We start from the raw sequence: 24,526 nt of genomic DNA on the forward strand, positions 1-24,526 counted from the left end.
GATCTCCCCAGTATAAAAAGTTTCAGAAGAAGGAATTGTCCAAAGGAAGAAGATATCTCTTGGAGAGATGCTGGAATTCCACAGGTTACCTTGAGCTGTGTTTAATTTAGATATTCTTACGTGTAGTTTCTAGTGCTGTGCCTGGTATTTTCATTCATTCTCCAATATCTGCTGAGCGCCACCTAGGTGCCAGGCTCTGTGCTCAATGCTGGCCCACAGCGGGTACTCAATAAACAGCAGATATGAGATGACCCAAGCAAAGGGCTTAGCGTAGTGCCTGGCACTGGGCAAGTACTCAGTAACTGTTTCATATTATTAATATTACTATTATCATTCTTAATTCTAGTAGTAAATGAATGTTTTTCTTTTTCTAGAATATTCACTGACAATCATACTTAAAAGGGAATATTTTGTTTAATGTTCGGAAGCCCTCCACACACCCAGGCACACCTCTTGCCCCTGTTCCCCATCTCTCTCACACCCACACGCCCAATCCCAGGCAGCCACTCACCCCTGCATGCCAAGGCAGAGCGTTCTCCTCCTCTTATGCCCCCTCCCCAATTAGAGAGGGAGCTCCAAGAGAGAGCTCACCTCCTGAGACAGTCGGCAAGAGCCAGGAGGGTGGACAGCCTGCATGCAAGGAAGACTGGGATTCAAATTCCAGCTCAGCCACTCGCTGGCTACATGGCTTTGATAAGGGTACTGAGCCTCCCAGAGGCTTCATTTCCTCTTCTCTAAAAAGGGGAGAAAATCCTCCGATAAGAGATTTTTGTGAAGATTAAAAGACATAAAGTGGGTGCCTTGTCCAGCTCTCAGCAAGCACCACAAACTTTAATTCCTCTCCTCTAACAGCTCCTAAGCCCCCTTGTGGGTCACAAACCCCAAGTTATGGATAGCAAAAATTTCAAATGTTTTCTCTTGATAAGAGACTGTGTGTCCTAACTTTTGGTGTGAATTTTTTTTTTTTTTTTAAGATGGGAGTCTTGCTCTGTTATCCAGGCTAGAGTGCAGTGGCCCAATGTTGGCTCACTGCAACCTCCGCCTCCCAGGTTCAAGTGATTCTTGTGCCTCAGCCTCCCAAGTAGCTGGGGTTACTTGTGTACCACCACGCCCGGCTAATTTTTGTATTTGTAGTACAGACGAGATTTCACCATGTTGGCCAGGCTGGTCTCGAACTTCTGACCTCAGGTGATCGCCTGCCTCAGCCTCCCAAAATGCTAGGATTCAGGCGTGAGCCACCATGCCCAGCCAGTGAATTTCTTTTTAATGATTCCTTCTAGAACTGGGTTCCTCCCAAGACCCTTCTTATTGGGCCCTTAGGAGGACCTCAGCTGAGCCAAAGGAAGCCCATGAGACCCTGCCTAGAGTCCCACTTTGAGTCTGTCTCTGCTGCTGCAGGGATGTCTAGCACCAGATTTGTCCAACTGCAGGTTGTGAGATCAATTTAGCGGGGTTCTTAATAAAATAGGAAATACCAGATAATCTCATAGTGCCTCCTATGTAGCAAAGGTAAGTACTGTTTCTGGAAACTTTTGTTTCTGTTATTTATTTTGAAGCCCTCTATAAGGGTATGTATGTTTATAATATAAATGTATATATGCAAATATATACAAATTTGATATTTGCATATATTTTTATTTAATTTTTTTTTTACTATATTGGTCCCAATGATGTTTCTGTCTCAGAAATTTCAGCATTGTGGCCCTAGGTGGCAGGTGCTGGGGCATCCTTGCTGCCACTGCACCAAGTGCTGGGGAGTCAAGGCAGCTGAGGTGGAAGCTGGAGTTGGGGAAAGGCAAGTTCAAGGAAGAGGACCCAGAGTCAGAGAGGAAGCAGGGCATGGAGGAAGGTCTGCTTATAAGTAGAGCAGGGGAGGGGACAGGCCAGCAGCTGCCCTGGGAAAGGGGATCAGGAGCACATCTTGGGAACAGGAGCCTTCCTCTCCTGCTGTCAACGGCCTGGCCTCGTGGCCATGCTTCGTGTCCTGATGGTAGCCGCACTGCCGCCCTGATAACTTAAAGGAAGCCCCTTCAATGGGATGAAGGGCCCGTTTCTGTGACAGCTACTTTGGGAGTGGCAGCTCCCCTTCCCCCAGATCCAACAGGACACAGCCATCCCTGCGAGGGAGTCTGGGCCCCTGGACGCAGTTGAAGAAGGGCCACTGGGAGGCCGGCAGAACAAGGGGAGGGCTGGAGAAGGAGCGGGAGTGCAGGCGAGAGGAGGACCAGAGAGGGGGAATTTGTAGAGAAAACGGTAAAACGGTTTCTTTTTTCAAAAGTTGAATCCAGGGCAAGAACGGAAACGGTGGAGTTTACTTTTAAAAACTCAGAGCCTCCTTATAAGTGGTGGAGTGTGTGTGTGTGTGTGTGTGTGTGTGTGTGTGTGTGTGCATGCTGGCAGGGCGGGCCCTGCGGGCTGGCCAGGCCTGTGAGAGGTGACTTCTCTCCCTCTCAATGGCCTTACAGTGTATCCTAAAGAAGCTTTTTGTTAAACTCATGAATAGGTGGATTTGGGGTGTGTGATGCTGGGCATCACGATTTGGATATTTGGTTACCTTTGAGGTTACATGTTTTTCCTCTTAAGATACACACTCAAAAAAGGAGCCACCTCTTCTGTGTAGGTCACTATTTTGGTGTATGTGGGGGCGGGGGTGCCTGTCTTTCTGTAATTGATTTGACTGGAGGGGTGAGGGTAAGAAGGAGAAACACAGGACATGGCAGATCTGCAATGCCTGACCTGGGAGACAGCCTCCCTCAGCTCCCTGGTCTCTGGCAGTCCCCAGATCACAGATGCCCAGGGCCTTCCAGGCCTGTGATGGTCCTCATTTAAGAGATCGCAAAAGGGACCTAGGCCCAAAGAGGGGAAGGATATGCCCCAGGCTGCTGCCCCAGAGCAGGTTGGTAAGAATCTGGACTGGGATCTAGACCTTCAGGTTCTCATCACAGAATATGTCGTGTTCCCAGAGATCATTCATTCATTCTTTCAGCAGCACTTGCTACATGCCAGGCACTGTGCTAGGCATGGATAACATAGCAGTGAATAAATCAACTCACTCTTCCTGCCCTCCACCTACTTACAGTCTAATGGGGAAGACGGACTGTAACCAACCTGAACCTGACCCCTCATTTCTATACAGCAGTGGCTGTCACCTGGGGCTATTTTGCCCTCCTTCCCCGGGGAACATTTGGCCATGTCTGGAGACATTTTTTGTTGTCACCACTGGAGACTGAGGTGCTTGCTGCTAGCGTCTCATGGATAGAGCCAGGGGTACTGTGAAACATCTTACAGTGTACAGCACAGCCCCCGCCCACATACATGCACAATAGAGAATTATCTGGCCCAAAATGTCAATAGTCCCAAGGCTGAGACACCCTGCTGCAGACCTTCATTTAGTTCATGGGCCAGGCCATGCCCAACTGGGCATGGCAACTGGAAAAGAGGGGATAGGACAAGAAGGAAAGTTAGGTAGGCAGTGCAGAGGGGACAATAAATGAAAAGGAAAAGAAAAGTCCGAGCCCCCATGGTAAATTAGAAAAAATGTGGGCTTTGGTGGCCCAGACTGAGGTTGAAATCCTAGCTGTATCCCCTTGGGTAAGTCAGTTATCCTCTCTGAGCCTCACTGCGTTTCTGTTTCCGTGAGATGGACTCATGGTACAGTTGTGAAGGTTTGAAAGCAAATAAAGGACCTGGCACAAATTAGACATACAATAAAATGGCAACTGTTATTAGTATATTTGAGGCTTTTAAAGTCCCCACTATGGAAAATTACAGCATCCACACGTGTGATCAGGAAGCCAAAGAAGGCTGCTCTTTGGGGCAGGGTTGCCATAGTATTCCCTCTGCTTGGGGGAGGGGCAGTGGGTGGTGTGAGCATCTCCCTCCAGTGTGTGTGGTGGGAGGAGCACTGCACTTGGAGTCACATGGACTGGGCACTGATGGCCATATGACCTAGGGGAAACTGCTTCACCTCTCAGCCTCAGGTTCTTTATTTATAACACGGAGATGCTAAGCCTGCCCTCATGGGCCAAGATCCAGTGAGGACCTCCGAAGGAGGCCTGTGGGGGTGCCTTGAAGCCGATGCAGGCACCTTTGGTGTCTGGTGTGCCCTGTCCCTAACCCAGGGCCAGGCACATACAACAGACTAGTTGAATGAACCATAGTACTATAAATTCCTTTCAGTTCTTGACAAAGAGAGCACCAAGAATACCCAGTTGGGCAATCCTTCACTTTGTCACTCCTCCATCCTTTGCAAGATGCAGGGACCTCTGGTTCCCAGAACGTGCTGCATCAGGTTGCAGCACCGGGCAGCTGCATCCTCCAGAGAGCACTGCAGATACAGCAGCTGCACCGTGACAGCCCCACAGGGGCATCCCCATGGGGAGTGGGAGGTAGAGGGGTGGGGGTTCTCCAGAGCTGAGGTGAGCCCAGCTACTGAAAAGAGGACCAAATGAGGATCAGGACCCTGGAGATTTATCTCAATGCAGGCATGTCATTGAATACCTCCACTTTCCTATCTGTAAAATGGAGTTGAAGTCATGATAAAGTAAGGCCTAACTAAAAGCCACTAGCCAAAGGGGTGGATTTGGGTAAACTGTCAAGCTTTCCTGAACTTCTATTTTACAGAGTCATGAAACACTGGAGCAGAAAGGGATTCATGGGTCACCACAGCGTCTTCTTCATTATGCAGAGGGGGAGGCTGAGTCCCAGAGAGCGGAGGACACTTGGATGGGGGTTCACAGGCTGCTCTTGCACCCAGGCTTCTGAGGCTCCTCCCTTCACACCACGCAGGTCCCATTCCAGCCAGTAAAGGGAAGCGTCAGATCACAGCAATGCTGTGACATCCAATCAGAACCCAACTCTAAACAGATTTGGTCCTTGGGTTACCCATTGTCCACCCTTGGGACACCTTCTGGCTCTGTCCCTCCATGTCCTCGCTGTTTCCAGGGCTAATTTTGGGGGGAAAAAAAAACCTCTAGAAGAGAAACGTGTAAGGCAAGTCAGAGTTCAGCCTCCCATCTCCCTCAGAAAACCTGGCCTTCTCGCCTCAGCCGCCGCCTCGGGTCCTGTGTAGGGGATTTTTCCCAGCAAAGTCTGGACCCTTGGCCTGACCCTCCCCTCACTCCATCCCTCCCCAAGCAGATGCTCCCTGTCTCCCCTCCAGCCCATCTCCCTTTGACCTGCATATCCAGATGGCTCAGGGGAAGCCTGGATTCTAGGATGACTCAGGCAGGAATGTAGTAAATGTTTTTCAACGTCACAAGACACTGAAAAGGAGGCCTGGAGGTGTCATTAGAGTTAGCCTTCAGTCCCTAAAATTAGCTGCATCTAAGGAGCTTTTCAAAAATACGGGTGGCTGAAGCCCTAATGTGCTCCAAGAGATTCTGCTTCAGTGAGATGGGGGCTTGGAGGCGGGGAATCTGTGGTTTTCAAAATTGCCCCAGGTGATTCCATTGTGGTCTAGTTTGTCAACTCCTAGTTTAAAGCCCAAAACAGTTCCTCAGAGTGTATTTGGTTCTAAGATCTTCTCTCTAGCCCTGCCTCTTGGGCCACTTGCTCTCTTCCTTCCCCAAGGGCAGGACTACAGCCACTGCCCCCAGTTTGTCCTTTAGGGGAGTGAGAAGGTCATGGCCAGCTTCTCCTGTCTTCACTTCCCTGCCTGAGACAGGGGCCCTTCCTCCCTTGGTTCTCCAAGGTGGTTTGTATAGAACACGCCTTCCAAGGCCAGCAACAGGCTTTGTAGGTGAAAAGGATCTCATCCCTCAGAGAAAGTCAAGGATGAACAAAATTAACCCTAGTTAATTTTGGGTCTCTTCCCTGCAGGGCTTCTCAAAATGCTGATGGACCTTGGAAATCACCAAGTTTTTCAAACTGAATTTGACCGTGAAGCTTTTTTTTCCTAAAGCAGATGGAGGGACTTGAGCCTAAAAAGATGCTAATCTAGGCACGGGCCCAGGTTGAGCCTGCAGCAGGAATACAGCAGCTGCACCCAGGCCAAGGGGCAAGGGGAGACCCCACCAGGTAGGGCTTAAAATCCTAAATCTCAAATGAACTCACTGACCCAGCAAGCGCTCTCCAAGCCCCACATCTCACATCTGTAACCTTCCCTCTAAAGGCTGGCCATGCTGGGTACTCATTTTCTTCCTTTTTCTGTGGATTAGAAGACAACAATGAGGTAGAACATTCAGTGGAGTTCACTGTGGGGTGGGGTGGGGCTCTGACCCCAGGGGATTCCTGCCTCTCCACTTGTTCCCTATCCATACCTGGCCACCTGCCTCCCCTATGTGAGCTGAGGGCCTAACCCTCTGTTGTTCCCTGGCCTGTTGGGTGACTCCAGTGGGTGCCAGTCCCCTGGAAGACTTGGACTAGCACCAATGGGGGTGAACAGCAGCCCCCTGGAGCTGAGTAAAGAGGTGCCCTGCTTGCATGCTTGTCTCTGTCGCCTGACTTCACTGCCCCATCCATGGGCATCACCCCCACCCCAGACTCACGTGACCCAGCCAGGTGCTTTGTTCTCCCCCATCCCCCTAAAGCAGCCTTGTTCTGAGATTCCCACTTGTTTCCTAAACGCAACCCAAGTGGGTCTCTGTTGTGACTTGTCAATATTTTGACAGAGGGTCTCCTGGTGTGGGAGACCTGATTGCTTAGATTGCCTCCACACCCACTCCTGAGCGGGAGGAGGGTTAGGAGTGGGGATGGCTTCATTAGCGAAGGAGGAGCCTAGCCCTCGGGTTAGCGCCTCGGCCTCCTGCAGCCCCATCTAGGCCCTCCCCATCTGCCCTCTTCTCTGGATCTGCCTTCTCAGTGACCCAGGGACTCCCGGGTTTGCACACAGCAGGGTCAGCAAGACTTATGTACACCAGATAAGGCTGATGCTTCAGCGGTTGGAAAACAGGACTCCCACCCCCTCCTAAGTCACTGCAAGTACTGCACAGAATGACTCGCCCTTGGATGCACACAGCAATTGATCAAGGTTATTTGCATATTTCCTCTCAGCCCCCTGGGGATTGCAGAGGCATTTAGAAGACCTTAGAGATGGTCCTGTCTCACTTAAAATCAAGCCCAATCCCTAGCCTTGGCCTACAGGCCCCCAAGCTGGCTGGTATCCCCTCCTCCTCACATCATTCTCCCCTCCTCCACCTCCCTGCAGCCCCTGGCCTCTCACTTCCTTCAGGACTTTTGCCCTCTCGGTCCCCCTGCCCAGGTGCTCTTCCCACAGGGCTTTGCATGGCTGGTTCATTCTGGTCATGCAAGTTCAAATGTCACCTCCTCTTGGGAAGCTTTTCTTTTTGTGCCCATCTGATTTAAAGAAAACAAACACCCCCACTCCCATCCCCTGCATTTTTCTTTAACTTATCATTATCTAGAAATTCTGGCTGGTCAGTTTCCTTGGTGATTCTCTGCCCTCCTGAGCTCCACAAAGAGCACTCCTTCTCACTGCACCAAGGGGAGTGAGGAGGTCATGGCCAGTTTCTCCTGTCTCCACTTCCCTTCCTGAGACAGGGACCTTTTCTCCCTTGGTTCTCCAAGATGGTTTCTATAGAACATGCCTTCCAAGGCCAGCAACAGGCTTTGTAGGTGAAAAGGATCTCATCCCTCAGAGAAAGTCAAGGTTGAACAAAATTAACCCTAGTTAATTTTGGGTCCCTTCTTAATATGCTGATGGACCTTGGAAATCTCCATGCAGCAAAAGCTGCATGGGACATGAGCCCCATCTGTCTTGGTCACTCTGTGTCTCCAGCACCTAGGAAATGCTTGGCACACAGTAGGTGGTCAAGAAAAGTTTGTTGGCTGGACAAATAACTTCAGAGCTTTTCAAACCATGCTTCAGAGTCCGCGGGGGTCAGTCCATGATACCCCATGGGGGCTAGAGAGGTGGGTCAAGAAGTGTACAGCCACATTCTATTAGAACATCTCCAGTTTTCTGTCTTTTGAAAGCCACTGATATGTTGCACTCTGCTCTTGTCATATATAGGAAATCTGGGACTCAGAAAAGAATATGTCTTTACTGTGGCCATGGCTCAGGGACTCTGCACAGTCAGAATGGCCACCACCTGGGCCAGCTCATGTTCTGCCACCAGTGACCCAACTGAGGAGAGGGATGGCCACTTCCATATGCCAACCCCAAATCTCCCCAGCTTCTCTCAGTAGTTCGTGATGACTCAAACATCGTCAGGGAGGAGCTGCTTTTAGGAATAAATGTATAGTTTTAGGTGCTACCACCTTTGGGGCCTTATCACTACTGGGCTACCCAGCATGTGCCAGGGCCATCTTTCACCTCATTTCCTTTACATCTTTTGAGCCGCAGGGTCCTAGCACCTCTGTGCCACAGTAGGAAGCAGGTCAGGCAGTGGGGCTAGGATGGAGAATAAGATGTAGTCTCCCTGGCTACTCAGCCTTCGTGACTTTGTAGATCTCAGTGAGCACCTCTTCTCAGCCACTAGGGTCCACACTGAATATCTGTCACCTCACCTCCAGAATAATCTGCTTCTGTCCTCTCCAGCTCCATGCCCTGGGGACCTCCCCTGACCCTCCAGCTCCCTCTGGTCTCTCCTCAGTTGTGATGGTGACTCTGGCACATTGGTACCTACATATTTATTCCTAGTTCCCCTCCTGATGACATCTAGTGCTTAGACTCACAAAAGAATCCATTCAGCCATTGTCTTCCAGGAGTGGATGGGATAGAAGGGCTCCAGGCTCACCAAAGTGACTTCGTCAGCAGCCATCCCTCATCAGCAGTGTGACCTTGACAGAGTTGATTAGTCTTGCTGTGCCTCGTTTTCCTCATCTGTGAATTGGGTATAATGACTCCTTCCCGATAGATTTGTTGGGAGGGTAAAATGAGATAATATAGCTAAACCACAGTACCTCCCACAGAGCAAGGGCTCTCAAAACAGTAACTGCTGTAAATCATGAACATTCCCAGACCCGTTCCTGGTATCTCTGAACCTGAATTTTTGGATGATCATGACTGCCTCCTCTTGCCCAAACTGAAGTTTCTCAGCTGCTTTTCTGCCTACTTATGCTCTTAAGATAGTCTTACCATCCTGGAGCAGAAAGGGGCCTCAGGAATGCAAGAAGAGCCACATGCTGTCTGCCACCCTGCAGCTAGCTGAGGGACAGGACAGATGACGAAAGCCAGGGCTGGCTCCTGATAGGCCTGGAAAGTGTGGCAGGTTCTGCTGTACACAGGGCTCCCACAATGCATCACTCCAGAGGGCGCCATTCCATTGTGGTCCATGGGAATAGCGACTCCTCGAGTTGTGCCAGTGTGCAGCCTTTGCAATTGATTGTACCCGACTCCTTCAACCCTTCTCTGGGACTGCGCTGCAGATGTTGTACTACAAAGGCTGGATCAACAAGAACTCCTCTTCAGGTGTCATAGCTGCTAGCCAGCATGTCCATGCTATCAGGAAGCTTGTGAGGCAGGAGGTGCTGGTGCAGGGCTGGGGGCTGCCTCTGGCCCTACCGAACTCTGCCTCCATCCCCTGTCCTCCTCTCCTGGGACTAGGGAGTGGGGAATCCTAAATGTACCAGAAGAACCTTTGGTGGTTCTCAGCCAGTTAAGGTGGCTGAACAGACTCAGTTCTACCTCCAGCTGAAACTTTGGTTTTTCTTGTCCTGTGTGGACCCCAGAAAAAAAAAAAAAAAGATGCTCTGAGTCCAGACAGGACAGAAATCCGGAAAAAACATTCACTTCTTGTTTTTTCCTTAATAAAAGGGAGGATCTGGAATATGGTTCTCCCCTCTCTTGGTTCCACTAGAAATAGAGAGCCCACGTTGTGTATCAGTGGGAATGGAAGGGGAGGTCCTGTGGTAGCTTGAGGGTCAGGAAGCCAGGCCAAGAAAGCCACAAAGATTGGATTCCAAGTAGAAGGGGAAGACCAGGCGCAGTGGCTCATGCCTGTAATCCCAGCACTTTGAGAGGCCGAGGTGGGAGGATCACTTGAGGTCAGGAGTTTGAGACCAGCTTGGGCAACATGGAGAAACCTCGTCTCTACTAAAAATATAAAAATTAACTGGGTGAGGCAGCAGGCACCTGTAATCCCAGCTACTTGGGAGACTAAGGTACAAGAATTGCTTGAACCCAGGAGGAGGAGGTTACAGTGAACTGAGATCATGCCACTGCACTCCAGCCTGGGTGACAGAGCGAGACTCCAACTCAAGAAAAAAAAAAAAAGTAGAAGTGCAGAAGAGAAAGGTCTTAAAAAAAAAAAAACCATCAAGAACAATTTCAAGACATGAAATGTTCTGCACTGATTAAAAAAAAAAAAAAAAAAAAAAAAGAAGGAGCCATTGAGATCAGACATAGGAAATAGTTTTCCTGAGAAATCTAAGCGACCCTGAGGTTGACTACCAAGTAAGATTGGGGACTGTTGTTTATAAAGAAGTTTTTAGATTAGTAGTAGTGTTATAATAAAAAGTTACCTTGTATTCATTTCCTAGGCCTGCCATAACAAAGTGCCACAAACTGAGTAGCTTAAAACAATAGACATTTATAGTCTCACAGTCTTGGAGGCCAGAAGTCTGAAATCAAGCCATTGGCAGGGCCATGCTCCCTCTGAAACCTATGGGAAATCCTTCCTTGCCCCTTCCTGGCTTCTGGTGGCAGCTGTCAATCTTTGGTGTTCCTTGGCTTGCAGCTGCGTCACTCCCATCTCTGCCTCGGCTGTCACTTGGTGATCTCCCTGTGTGTCTGTATTTCCACAAGGACATCTTCCCCTCCAATAAGGACACCAGCTATATTGGACTAAGGGGCCATCCTAACAACCTCATCTTAACTTGATTACATCTGCAAAGACCTTGTTTCCAAATAACGTCACATTCACAGGCAATGGGGGTTCAGGCTTAGACATAAGGTATCTTTTTTTGGTGGGAGGGACTCAGTTCAACATATAACACCCTTTATTGACTTGCTGTCAATGTATTTAGACCTGTGCTTCATCAAAGGGATTTAAGGGAAGTCATTCTCTTGGGGGAGATGGATTAAACAAATGATGTATTCTCCCATCGGTCAGTGCTTTTATGCTAACTAGAGACTGGGCAGGTTGAGTAGAAAGTGTTTGAATGCCATTGTATGATCTGAGCTGAAATCTGGTGTGCACATACTTCACACTGAAGCAGCAGAAAGCTCTGTGAAATAGGTCTAATTATTCCCATTTTATAGATAACAACACTGAGACATAGCTGGTAAGTGGTAGGACCAGGACTTGAACTCATGACTCTGATTCCAAAGTTCATGGTTGCCTGGCTGTTCCATGCACTATGCTTAGAGAAAAGGCAAATTTCTCAGTCTTTACTCACATACCCTGATATCTACCATAAGAAAAAGAAGCAAAGAGGCCTGTTACCCAGAATGGGCCCCATGGATCAAGGTATGTGTGTAAGCTCCTGTTTATTTCAACGCACCATGCCCAAGAACTTCATATGGATTCCTTCAGCTCAGAGTCAGAGCCACCTTCAGGAGACAGAGGCTGTGAGCGAGAAAAACTTTGAGCCCCAAATCTGTTGAACACAGTAACAGAAGAAAATTCTGTTTCCCACCATCTGATTCTCAAGAGTTTTAACACACCAGGAGCCTACTCCCTTCCCCACTGAGACTTTCCTTCCCCTTCTATCCCCAGTCGGCTGCCACCTTGGTCACTGGGGAGCCCTTTGGCTTTACATAAAACTCCTGCTCTCCTAATGACCTTCCAAGGCTGGAATCTATTTTCTCCTGTGATTGTCTTGAATGTAGTTTTGTTTTTGTTTTTGTTTTTGTCTTTGAGACAGAGCCTTGATTTGTCACCCAGGCTGGAGTGCAGTGGTGCGATCTTGGCTCGCTGCAACCTCTGCCTCCCGGGTTCAAGCAATTCTTCTGCCTCGGCCTCCAGAGTAGCTGTGACTACAGGTGTGTGCCACCACGCCCGACTAATTTTTTTGTATTTTTAGTAGAGGTAGGGTTTCACTGTGTTAGCCAGAATGGTCTTGCTCTCCTGACCTCATGAGCTACCCACCTTGGCCTCCCAAAGTGCTGGGATTATAGGCATGAGCCACTGTGCCTGGCCAAATGTAGATTTTTTTTTAAAGGATATAAAATTCACTTTATTTTTAGAGACAGATTTCCTTTAAAAATAATAAAGGACATCATAGAAAATTTAGGAAATATAAAGGTTCAAGATAGAAAAAAAAAAAATTGGCCAGGCACGGTGGCTTATGCCTGTAATCCCAGGACTCTGGGAAGCCAAAGCAGGCAGATCACTTGAGCTCAGGAGTTCAAGACCAGCCTGAGAAACATGGTGAAACCCTGTCTCTACAAAAAATACAAAAATTAGCCAGGCATAGTGGTGCATGCCTATAGTCCCAGCTCTTCAGGAGGCTGAGGTGGGAGGATTGCTTGAGCCTGGGAGGCGGAGGTTGCAGTGAGCCCAGATCATGCCACTGCACTCCAGACTGCGCAACAGAGTGAGACTCTGAAAAAAAAAAAAAAAAAAAAGAAAGAAAGGGAAAAGGAAAAAAAAGAAAAAATAAAAATATACTATAGACTTACCACCCAAAGATAACCAGAGTTAAATTTCTGTCTGTCTTTCCTGTCTTTTTCCCATTGAATAGATATACAGAAAAATAGAATGGAATTGTATTCTATGTGTTATTTTGCAGTTTACTTTTTGTGCTTAATGATATAGCATGAACATGTTTCCAAGTAAGTAAACAGTTTTCCTTACTTGACTATTCTATGTGCCAGGCTCTCTACCAGAGACAGGAAGGGATAGAAAAGATGGGATAGAAGTTTTCTCTGCTCTCAGGGAGCCCACAGTCTAGGTAGGAGAGAGCCATGTCTGCAATGAAAAGTACTTGTCAGTAGAATGCAAAGAGCCCTAGTTCTTTGCCCCAGCACTGCATCTGATAACACAACTGTGAGTGCATTCTTCCATAAGGGAAAATCTGCACAGTTGCTCCCACCAAGTCTGAATGGATTTGAGGTTCAGCTGCAATGCAGTGGTGTGCCATTGGGAGAAAGAATACTTTAGTGAGAAATTCCGCAGGTTCTCCTCCTGGTAGGTGTGTGTCCTCAGTGAGCCAGAGACAAGAGACCCAAATTTGCCATTCCCAGAGTTGGCCCCAGTTCCCTTGTTTCTCTTATGGTGTGAGCACCTTGAGGCACCAAGCATGTGTCTGGTGTTTGATGATATTTATTTCTCATACGATATGGCCCTCATAGCAAGCCAATTAATTTATTGGCCACTCAAATACTCAATAGTCTGACTCAGCAATGGAAGGCAGATGGTTGTGTTGGACTCATTGGAAGATAACATGGGGGTCTCCAATATGGTGCCTTCCTCCAAGATTTTCAAGGGGAATTTTGATCGTACCTGGTTTCTGACTTGTGTGGAGCTTTAGGGGCCAACCCCATGAAGAGATTCAGTTTGGCATGGTGAAAAGCATTCTGGAGATGGATGGTGATAATGGTTGCATAACAATGTGAATACGCGATGCCACTGAACTGTACATTTTTAGAAGATTAAGATGATAAATTTTATGTTATGTATATTTTACCACAATTTAGGAGAAAACATAATCAATTTTTTAAAGTAAGGAAAGGTAGCTTCCTAGTGAGGATAATGTCTTTGGAGAAACCCTGACTGGAAGGAACTGAGAGGCAGCAGACAGCATGAGTCCCCAGAAGGCACTTTTGTGAGGGCAGCTGCTCTGGCATCCTGTTGGGAGGCTATTAAGCACTATAATCCGGACAGCCTTGCAGGGGACAGTCACACAGCCAGTACAGGCTGGCAGAGGACTGGGGACATGCCAGAGACAGCTGGAAAGGAAGGAAACAAAGTGTCGGGGGGCAACATCATGTCAAGGTTTTGCAGCTCTTCAGTGACTGCTCTGGGACAGGTAGGCTGTTAGAGGGAGGTCTTTGAGGGGCTTAGGGAGCAAGTCTCTCCTCTTCTGGGGTTGGAGGCCTTATTCTGCAGCCCTGAGGTACCTTGGTTCTTTGAGTCAAATCTGATGTTGAACTCGCTCCATGTGGAGAACCCGTCTGTAGCAGGCACTGAGCAAATGTCTGTTAATTGAATCCATGATTTAAATGAAATCTGGAGTTGGCTGGATTCAGGGACTCATGCCTGTAATCCCAACACTTTGGAAGGTTGAGGTGGGGGAATTGCTTGAAGTCAGAAGTCTGAGAGCAGCCTGGGCAACATAATGAGACTCTCGTCTCTACAAAAAAAAAAAAAAAAATAGCTTGGTGTGGTGGCTCACACCTGTAGTTCCAGCTACTCAGGAGGCTGAGACAGGAAGATCACTTGAACCCAGGAATTGAAGGCTGCAGTGAGCTATGATCTCACCACTGCACTCCAGCCTGGGTGACACAGCAAGACCCTATCTCTAAAAAACATTTTTTTAATTAAAAAAAATTAATCTGGGGGCACAGTTATCAAAGGCCCTTTGAGGACTAGAACAAACCTCCAAGGGGTACTATCTTCAGCCCCTAGCATCATTCCTGGCACACACATGGGAAGCAGGGAACTAGTTGAGAGCCCAGCTTTTGGAGTCAGACCAATCCGGGTTTGAATTCTGGCTCTACCACTCACTGGCTGAGGGAGATGAGATAAGTTATTTACCCCCTCTGAGCCTCTGTCCCCTTGGTTCTAAAATAGGACTAATCACAGTGTGCCCCTCCCAGGACTATTGTGAGCATTAAACGAGATGAGGCTTATGTTCAAAATGCTGCTGGGCACCATGCTGGCATGGACTCAAGCCTGGATATATGCAATTTTTAAAGGACGTAGTTGTGATAGGTGCTCACAGATGAGTTATAGACCCAAGGATGAATAAAACCCAGTGCATGCTCCTCCCAGTCAGTCTCCTTGCAGAGGCAGACAGGTGCTACAGGCAGCACGTGCTCCTGCTGTGATCGAGGACGGCAAACTGGATCATAATAGGAACATGATGGGGGACTTCATGGAGGAAGGGCCCACCACCAAAGATCGTGAGGACTGTAGTTTCTCCCTGATACATACCTGAGTCATTCCTTGAAACCCTGAGAGCCTATTCATCACCTACAGAATGAAGTCAATTTCTATAGCCCAATCTTGGAGGCCTCTTCAGAATCTGGCCCCACTTTGTTTCTAACTTTATTTAATGCTACACCACTTGGACCTGCTCCTTTCTCCCTGCCTTGTGTGTTCAGTCTCTTACTCTTAGAAGGCCCTTTCCCCACCTCTACATGTCATATTGTACCTGTCCATCAAGGCTAAACTCAAATCCTACCTCTTTTTTGAAGCTCTCCCAGGTCTCCCAAATCAGATGATGCAGATTCTGCATCCTCTCAACTCCCAGAGCCCGCTCTCTCTGCCCCTCATTGAGAAGGGCTCTCCTTGTATTGTAGGAATTTTTTTTGAGATAAGGTCTTTCTCCATTGCCCAGGCTGGGGTGAAGTGGTTGCATTAGTCCATTCTCACGCTGCTAATAAACACATACCCAAGACTGGGTAATTTATAAAGGAAAGAGGTTTAAATGACTCACAGTTTAGCACAGCTGGGAAGGCCTCAGGAAGCATACAATCATGGTGGAAGGGGAAGCAAACACATCCTTCTTCACATGATGGCAGGAAGGAGAAGTGCTGAGCAAAGGGGGAAAAGCCCCTTATAAAACTATCAGACTTCATGAGAACTCATCACTATCAAGAGAACAACATGAGGGTAATCACTCCCATGATTCGATTACCTCCCACTGGGTCCCTCCCATGATATATGGGAATTATGGGAACTACAACTGAAAATGAGATTTGGGTGGAGACACAGCCAAACTATATCAGTGGCACAACCAGGGTTCACTGCAGCCTTGACCTCCCAGGCTCATGCGATCCTCCTACCTCAGCCTCCCGAGTAGCTGGAACCACAGTTGCATACCACCATGGCTGGTTAGTGTTGTAGAGACAGGGGGAAGGGTTGGGGGATGAGGGGTGGTCTCCCTAAGTTGTCGGGGATGATCTCCCTATGTTGTCCAGGCTGGTCTCAAACTCCTGGGCTCAAGCAATCCTCTGGCTTTGGCCTCCCAATATTGTAGGATTTATTCCCCCATTGCATCCCTGCCTCACACAGTGAGCCCCTGGGGGTAGATTCACAGCTGGTCCATCTATAGTTCCCTGTCAGCACCTGCTACAGAGTCTTCCATATGGTGAGTGTTTGACAGAGGAAAGGAAAGAGGAGGAAAGGCAAGAAGTGCTTGGAACTTTTCTGGATGAAAGGCAATTATTCCTGCCATGTGAGGTCCAGAAAGAAGGCTGTCCCAAGGAGGGAAAGCAGTGTCACTGAAGGATGCCCATGGGATGAAGAGGTCTTGTTCACTGTCCACTCAGCCAACACTGAACCATCCTGGCCAGGATGTACTGACCTCATGGATCAGGGTGGGAGGTGTCCAAGTCCACCCTCTGGTTCAGTAATTTGCTAGAAGGGCTCACAGAACTCAGCAAAACTGTTACACTCACAGTTACGGTTTATTACAGCAAAAGGATACAGATGAAAATCAGCAAAGGGAAGAGGCACAAAGGGCAGGGGCCAGGAGAGACCAGGCATGAGCTTCCAGTTGTCCTCTTCTAGAGGAGTCATGCAGACAGCATTGCCTTCTCCCAGAAATAATATGTGCAACATCCACAGAGTCTTGCTAACCAGGGAAGCTCACCTGAGCCTTGGTATTCAGGGGTTATACTGCGGTGTGGTCATATAGACATGGCTGACCTTAGTCTCCAGTCCCTCCAGAGGTCAGGTTGATACCTCGTGCCCCAAGGTCCCCACCGTACATCACACCATTAGCCTAGGCCATCCAGCATGGCCCAAGCCTCCCACATAAACAGATTCTTATTAGACAGGACATTCCAAGGGCTTAGAGGTTGCCTCCTGGCAGCCAGGGTCAAGGGCCCAACCTTTCTTCGGGCAAAGTTAATCCTTTGCTGCACAGAAGGACTGCTCTGTGAATGCCCTGAAATCATACAGAAAATCCCAGGAGCGTGAACACTATTTCCTAAGAACTGTGTCCATAGCTTCCATCAGCTCTCAAAGAGAACCATGATCCAAGGAGCTAACTACATGTTTTTTTTTTTTTTGAGATGGAGTTTCGCTCTTGTTGCCCAGGCTGGAGTGCAATGGCGTGATCTTGGCTCACTGCAACCTCCGCCTCCCAGGTTCAAGCAATTCTCCTGCCTCAGCCACCATGCCTGGCTAATTTTTTGTATTTTTAGTAGAGACGGGGTTTCTCCATGTTGAGGCTAGTCTCGAACTCCTGACCTCAGGTGATCTGCCCGCCTCAGCCTCCCAAAGTGCTGGGATTACAGGCGTGAGCCACCACGCCTGGCCGCTAACTACATGTGTTCTATGAGGTGAGGTCCTTCCCAGACCCTGGAATCAGGGGTTGCAATTAGGGTCCAAATAATGAGGTTGGACTACAGATAACCCATCTCCTTTCTTACCTTTGACTAGATCCAAGGACTAAACTCCAAGAACCCGAGCATCTGTCCCCAAAACTGAAAGGATTGGACTAGTCACCCCTTGTTTCCCTACAGCCACATCCCAGGCACCTGGCCCTTGCTTTGTCCAGAAATTCAGCTATAACTCCACACATCTGATGGCCCTTTCTGGCAAGCAGGCATTTCCATCAGGACCCTCAGCTGCCAGACACATTTACTGGAGGTCACTTATTAAACCTGGGCTCAATTTCCACACAGGGAGGCTACTGAAGCATCACACTGGGTCTCCCAGCCCCTTCTCATAGAGGAAAGATCTCTCTGTCCTGCAGGGTTGGCAGTCAGCGCCAAGTAAAGGGAATTTAGCTCTTGGCCCAAGATCCCTGCCCAGGAAAGGTACTTGCGCCTGCTGGAAACTTTGGGCTGAAGTATACTCCTTTCCAAAAACTCAGGTCTGATATTTACACAAAGTCTGAAATTAATGCAGAGAAAACTTCCAAGTGCTTGGACTGGAGCAGAAGGCTGAGAACAGGAAGGGGCTGGTCCCTGGTACTAGTTTTGGTTTTTTGGTGGTTTTTTTTTTTCTTGTTTTTTCTCACAGAACAGGGCAAAGCTGAGTGTCCCTGGATGAGTGAAGCAGGAGGATTAATCATGCCCAGTGCTTCTCCACTTTAAACTGGTTTTCCTGGGAATTTGCAATTGAGAGTGGGGAGGGGTAAGAATCGTGGGAAAAGGCTGATGGTGTTCAGCCAAATTCATCCTTCACGTGCCCACCCTTCTACAGGCACATGCTTTGGGGCCATCCACGGCTGCAGCCACCCCATCCTTAGGAAGCACCACTGGCCTTCCTTTCCGGTACCTGGACTCAGCATCACTCCCAGCCTCTTGGAGATGCAGCCTTCATTCAGCACACAGCTCAGCTCTGAGTTCTGTTTTTGTCCCTAGATGTCTCTGGGGTCACCTACTACTCCCTGCTTGGTGGCCCAGGCCCATCCTTCTCCACTCTTGCACCTCTTTTAGCAGAAAAGGAGTGAGAATGGATATTTCCATGGGCCGTGTGTGCACTCCCGGCTACCCCTGACAGCTCTACTCAGAGCTACCCTCCCTCCTGGGGCTTCTTATGTGTTCTAAGGCTGAGGCAGGAAGACTGTGAGATCAGGTGACACTCAACAGTTATGATCGGTCTTAAGATTAACAGTCCTGGCCGGGCGCAGTGGCTCACGCCTGTAATCCCAACACTTTGGGAGGCCGAGGCAGGCAGACCACGAGATCAGGAGATCAAGACCATCCTGGCTAACACAGTGAAACCCCGTCTCTACTAAAAATACAAAAAATTAGCCAGGCGTGGTGGCGGGCACCTGTAGTCCCAGCTACTCAGGAGGCTGAGGCAGGAGAATGGCGTGAACCCAGGAGGCGGAGCTTGCAGTAAGCCAAGATTGCGCCACTGCACTCCCGGGTGACAGAGCGAGACTCCGTCTCAAAAAAAAAAACAACAACAACAACAAAAAGATTAACACTCCTTCTACTTCCAAACCTAATACAAAGGGACATTGCCTAGTGATTAAGAGAATTCATTCATTCAACAAATACTTGTTGAGCACCTACTATGTGCCAAGCACTGTTCTAGGCACCGGAAATACAGCAGTGAGAAAAACCAAAAAAACTCCCTGCCCTCATGGGGTGTATATTCAAGTAGCTGAAACAGACAGTGAACAAACAAAAAAGGACAATAATTTCAAATAATAATGATGCTATCGGCCAGGTGTGGTGGCTCATGCCTATAATCCCAGCATTTTGGGAAGCCAAGTCAAGCGGATTACCTGAGGTCAGGAGTTCAAGAACAGCCTGGCCAGCATGGTGAAACCCCATCTCTACTAAAAATACAAAAATTAGCCAGACATGGTGGCACACACCTGTAATCCCAGCTACTTGGGAGGCTGACGCAGGAGAATTGCTTGAGCCCGGGAGGTGGAGGTTGCAGTGAGCCAAGATCTGACAGGCCTTCAGCACCACTGCACTCTAGACTGGCTGACAGAGCGAGACTCTGTCAAAAAAAAAAAAGCTATAAATAGACTTTAACAGGGTAACATGATAGGGAGGGAGGGATAGGGGAGCAGGGTGGTCAAGGAAGGGACATTTAAACAGGCTAGAATGACAATGGCCAGCGAGGGAAAGATCCAGAAGTGTGTGCTGGAAGAAGAAAGAGCAAGCACAAAACCCTTAGGACAAAATCAGCTCGTGTGGTCAAGGCACAGCTAGAATGTGGCGGGGTTGAGGGTTTGGGGAATAGTGATCTGAGCAGGAGCAGGAGCGGATCACATGGGGCCTCACAGGCCCTGGGAAGGAGCTGGATTTTTCTCCAAGAACATTCATCCTTTTCTGCCATGAAGTCCATAGGCCAAGCTCCCTTTTGCTCCCACCCCCTCCAGCAGGATCAGACTACCCAGGGAACACGAGGACTTCTGGTGGGTGACTTGGAAGGAATAAGAGGAAGTTCCAAGTAAGTTGCCACAAGGAATCATCACTCTGTATCTCTTCTCCTAACTGGAAATAAGTAATTTCCAGAGGCCTCACCTATGAAAATTCTGGCCAAAGGTGCCAAGAAACTTCCCCAGATTCACCTAGATAGTACATTATGAGTCAAAGGTATGAATTCAGGTTGTGTTCTTAAGATACCCACCTTCTAGTGTACCATGTTATCTCCCAAGAGGCTTGAGAAGAGGCTATTCAGGAAACTGCATAGAGACTGGGTCCAAAGTGGACCTCAGAGAGAGGATGAAGAACAGCGTATCTCTTGTCCCAACAGGTCCAAGTCAAAGAGGTATTACTAGCAGGGACATAGATCAGTGAGTGAAGGGAATCACGACAGAGAGGCCAGAGAGGGGAGAGATTGATGTCATCTTTTCAAGTATTTCTGTACTACACGTCCTAAACCCCAGCCTGCTCCTTCCACTTCCTACTGTGCCCACCCCCACCTCCAGAAGCAGGCAGAACCTTCACCTAAAAGCTCACACAGGCCTTCGGCAAACCAAGGCCAGCTCTGTTTTTATTGTTTGACTAGCATCCGCCTGGCTCCTGGTCAGGACAGTGAGGTTGGCCTCGGACTGGCAGTGGCAGAAACAGCTCCGTGGGCTGATTTCTGAAGCTGAAGTTTCGAAGAGGCTTCAAAACACCCCTCTCCCTGTCCCTCTGTGATCAGCAACACAGGAAGCAGCAGGAGTTGGTCAGCTCTTCCAACTGCCAGAGGTACGCGGTCTCTCATGGTAGGATGGGACTTTAGAAAAGGTTAGAGACTCAGCTCACGTCGGGGGGCTCTACTGACTACCCACAGGTTGACTAGTAGGAATCCAGATATTTTTGAGCAGATGATGATCATGCTTTTGTAGGTGCTGGCTGAGACATAGCCCATTTAATCAGAAATGACTTGATTAGAGCTCTTGAAAAAGCTCATCCTGAAAACCCCTGGAGGAAGTTAACAGGACTGTCTGCAGCCCTGCCACGGAGCAGGGCATTTGTATAGTGGCCTTTTTTTTCTTTTTTTTTTTTTTTTTTTGGAGCCCCTGGGAAATTTGCCTGAAGGACACTGTGGAAGAGCCACCATGCTGGGCTGTAGGAGCCAGCTTTGCAGGGGACCCCTGGAGACACAGGGAAAGCCAGGACTCAGAGCCCCAGCAGGGCCCTGCCCTGTGGATGGAAGGTCCAGGAGTGGATCAGGAGTCCCACTTGGGAACCCCCTCCTCCAAAATGGACCCTGTGTTACTCATTGGCAAGATCCCACCAACCGTGCGCATATTCCAGGCACTCTGCCCATATTCCTGGGCAGAACTGGAAGAGATTTGGGTTTCCCTCTCTCGTGAACTAATTAGTGATGCATTTTCCCATCTACCAACCCCTAAAACTTTCCGGATCTGAAATTCCATGAGAACATTCCCCATATCCCCCTTGATTTATATTTGTTACCTAGTATGTTGTCTCCCCCTTGAAATGTGTTTGTTGACTGAATAATGGAATTAATGAGTAAAGCTAATGAGCGTAAAGGGACTGTAAATGCTGAGAAAACCATAGCATTGTAGCCACAGGACCTGGATTCCAAACCAAACTCAGCCACTCACTATCTGTGTGACTTTGGGCACGTTGTCTAACCTCTCTGAGCCATTGTCTTCCTTCCTATGAAGACTGTTCTAAGGATAAGAAACGGCACATGTACAGCTCAGAGAGGAGTTCCTGACATACAGCAGGCCCTTCCTAAAGATGGCCCCTAGATTGTTCCTGAAGCCATGGCATAAGTGGATTCTGGCTATAAAATGCCCACTGTTGCCTGAAGATAGAGAGGGGGTGACTGCCCTCCCTGACCACAGAGAAGCTCCAAGAGCTCTGTGGCAAGCCGTGGAGACGGCAGTGGCAGATTAGGCTCTTCCTTTACAGTCCACAGTTTTATTTGAACTCACATCCTAGTCCTGGGGTGAATAGAGGAATGATCCCTAGGCTAAAATAGTTGGTGGGGTGGGGGGCCCCATTGTTTGCTGTCACTGCAGAACAAATGACCATTCACTTACAGCATCATTTAAATTAGATACAGATGCAAATTGTATGTGGGTGGTGTTTCTTATCAGGCTAGCACCCATTAGTTGGGTGGCTACTTTGTGCAGAAACTGACCTCAGTGCCCCATTCACTTGGACCATCATTTAAATTCGATATAGATGCAAATTGCATGTGAGTGGCACTTTTTATCAGGCTAGCACCCATTAGTTGGGTGGCTACTTTGTGCAGAAACTGACCTCAGTGCCCATAGTAGGTGCTTGGTGTATCCATATTAGTTGAAATGCAGTGAGGGGCATACACAATGCAGGTGTTCTTGCTCCTCAGTGAGGGAGGAACCAGCCAGACAAACCTTGAGAAAGGAGGCCAACTCAGCATCTCTCATTTAAGTCCTACAGCGTCCTATGCTATTTGATAGATCCTATCTAATCAGCACTTTAGAGGTAAGGAAATTGAGCCTCGAGAGGTTAAATAATTGAGCCAAGGTCATATGCTCACAGGAAAGTGTCAGAGCTGCGATTCAGCCACATCTGTCTGACTCCCAATCATGCTCTTTCTGTTGCACCAGGGCCTGCTCCCACCCTGGCCATCGCACCCACCCATGCACACATCCCTTAAGTGGTTGGCCTAGTAGTTTGAAACAAAAGTGGGAAAGAAGCCACAAGCCAAGATGAGTCTGCTAATAAGTTGGTCATAACAACAAGAAATGACAAAGGACACAGGCAGACAGGAGAGCGTTTCAGGCTGGGGGAGGTTTCCAGGCGGTGGCATTTGCATGGGGCCTCAAGGAAGGTGGGAATAGGTCAGACATAGAGCTAAAGAGAGGGTGTTTTTTGAAGGAATGGAACTGTGTGAGCAAAAGAAGGGAGTGAAAGGACAGGGCCAGACCCTAGCCCCAGATTCAAATAGGGCACTGCCAGGGGATAAGACCCATGCCACATCGGCAGTCAGGTAACAAGTATAACCTGCAGGTATGACACTCTCCGTGGTGTCATTTCTCGGTTTCTTATTTTCTTTTCTCGCAGCTCCACTACCCGAGCCTTTTTTTTTGCTCCCCAGAGAGCCTCCCCTCACTTCTGTTAGATGTGTGCACCACCCTCCCAACCTCACAACTCTCCTTTCTGCCTTTTCGTCCCTAGCACAGTGAGGGCATGGGGGCATCTTTCTGAATAGGCTGGACCTTCCCAGAGAATGTGCTCAATAGGCAAGCGAAACCCTTGTGCATTGCCCTGGATGTTGCAGCAGAACAGCAAGCAATGAGCAGGTCCCTGGCCATGAGGGAGGCTGAGAGGGTGGAGATGCAGTTCCTTCTGTTCCCAGAAGTTAAAAAGGTGGAACTCTTCTCTGCACTGCGTGGAGCTGGCATTTGGAATCTCAGGGAACTCCAGAGTTAATTCTCCCACCTGCCCCCATTTCAGAGATGGAAAATCCGAGGCTCCGGGTCAGGCAGCCATTTTAGTCAGGGCCAAGGTTAGGACCCAGAGCCGACTCACTCATGTCTGCTATCTCTGGATACAGGTTTGTCTGCACTCACTAGGCTAGAAGCAACTCCAAGGAAAAACCTTTCTTTCCCTTCACTGGGCCCCTCTGTCTTAGCACAGAGCTGCTCAAGGCCAATCCTAGACAAAAGTATGGCCTTGAAGGGTTTATCTCCAGCACTCCCCACCCTGCTGCCAACTGTCTGTTTCACAGGACCTACACACTTGCCCGGAATGGAGAAAAACACATGGAATTTGATTTAAGATGCTTCAGTGATGACAGAGCAAGTAACAAATTTGGAAAAAGGAAATCAAAGATACGGAAAAAGACAAGGTGTTGAAGAAGGTGGGGAGAAGAGAAAGAGGAGGAAATATCAAAAGAGTATTGGCAGCTACAAAAATTACCTTCACAATTTCCCTGGGGGTGATGCTTGCATGATGATCCCAATTTACAGAAGGGAAAACTGTAAACTGAGGCCTTACATGAGTTTCCTGGTGAGTTAGGACAGAGCTGGGACTGAAATCAGCTTCCTGGCTTCCCGTTTCTATACCATCCCACCACGTCTGTTTAGAATATGTGGGAAGTTAACAGCTGCAGTTGGGGTGACTCTGGCCAGATATGCTCTTGGTGTAGGGTCCCTGGCCTTTTCCCTATGCTGGGTTTGAAATCCCAGCCTCGAGTGCATATGCTACTGCGTTTATGCACAGCTATCAGGATGATCTTGTTCATGAGCGAGTGACAAGAGAAAAGGTGCTATTGGGAGATTAGGCTGCAAATAAGTGATGTGCTGGTGACTGGTGACTACAGGAATGGGGCACCTTGGTCCTTTCGAATCCATCTTCTAGGACTTAAGTCAGGGACACAGAGCCACCTGGTCGCAGGCAAATCTTACTGGTCTACCAGTCTACCAAACCCCAACGTCTACTTACTCATCTAACAAGGAGGTGTCAAATACCATTTTGTGTTATTCCTGGTACTGTGTGAGTTAGCATAAAGGGATTTTGTTTTCATTTAAGACTTGATTTTCAAACTCTAGGAGGTCACAGTCTGCGTGATGAGACAGA

General features: G+C 48.5%; 1 protein-coding gene across 9 annotated transcripts in view; it reads left to right on the forward strand.

The window, feature by feature from the left end:
• ACAN (aggrecan) overlaps nt 1-24,526 on the forward strand; it is a 71,918-nt gene that overhangs the window by 1,962 nt on the left and 45,430 nt on the right. Inside the window, exon 2 of one of the 9 annotated variants that reach the window (XM_047432216.1) lies at nt 5,821-6,018. The exons of the other annotated variants lie outside the window; for them this stretch is intronic. The gene's annotated coding sequence lies outside the window, so the exon portion shown is untranslated. The remainder of the gene's footprint in view (nt 1-5,820; nt 6,019-24,526) is intronic. 9 annotated transcript variants of the gene reach the window in all.

Source organism: Homo sapiens, chromosome 15 (assembly GCF_000001405.40).
Source record: "Homo sapiens chromosome 15, GRCh38.p14 Primary Assembly".
Classification (NCBI taxonomy): domain Eukaryota; kingdom Metazoa; phylum Chordata; class Mammalia; order Primates; family Hominidae; genus Homo; species Homo sapiens.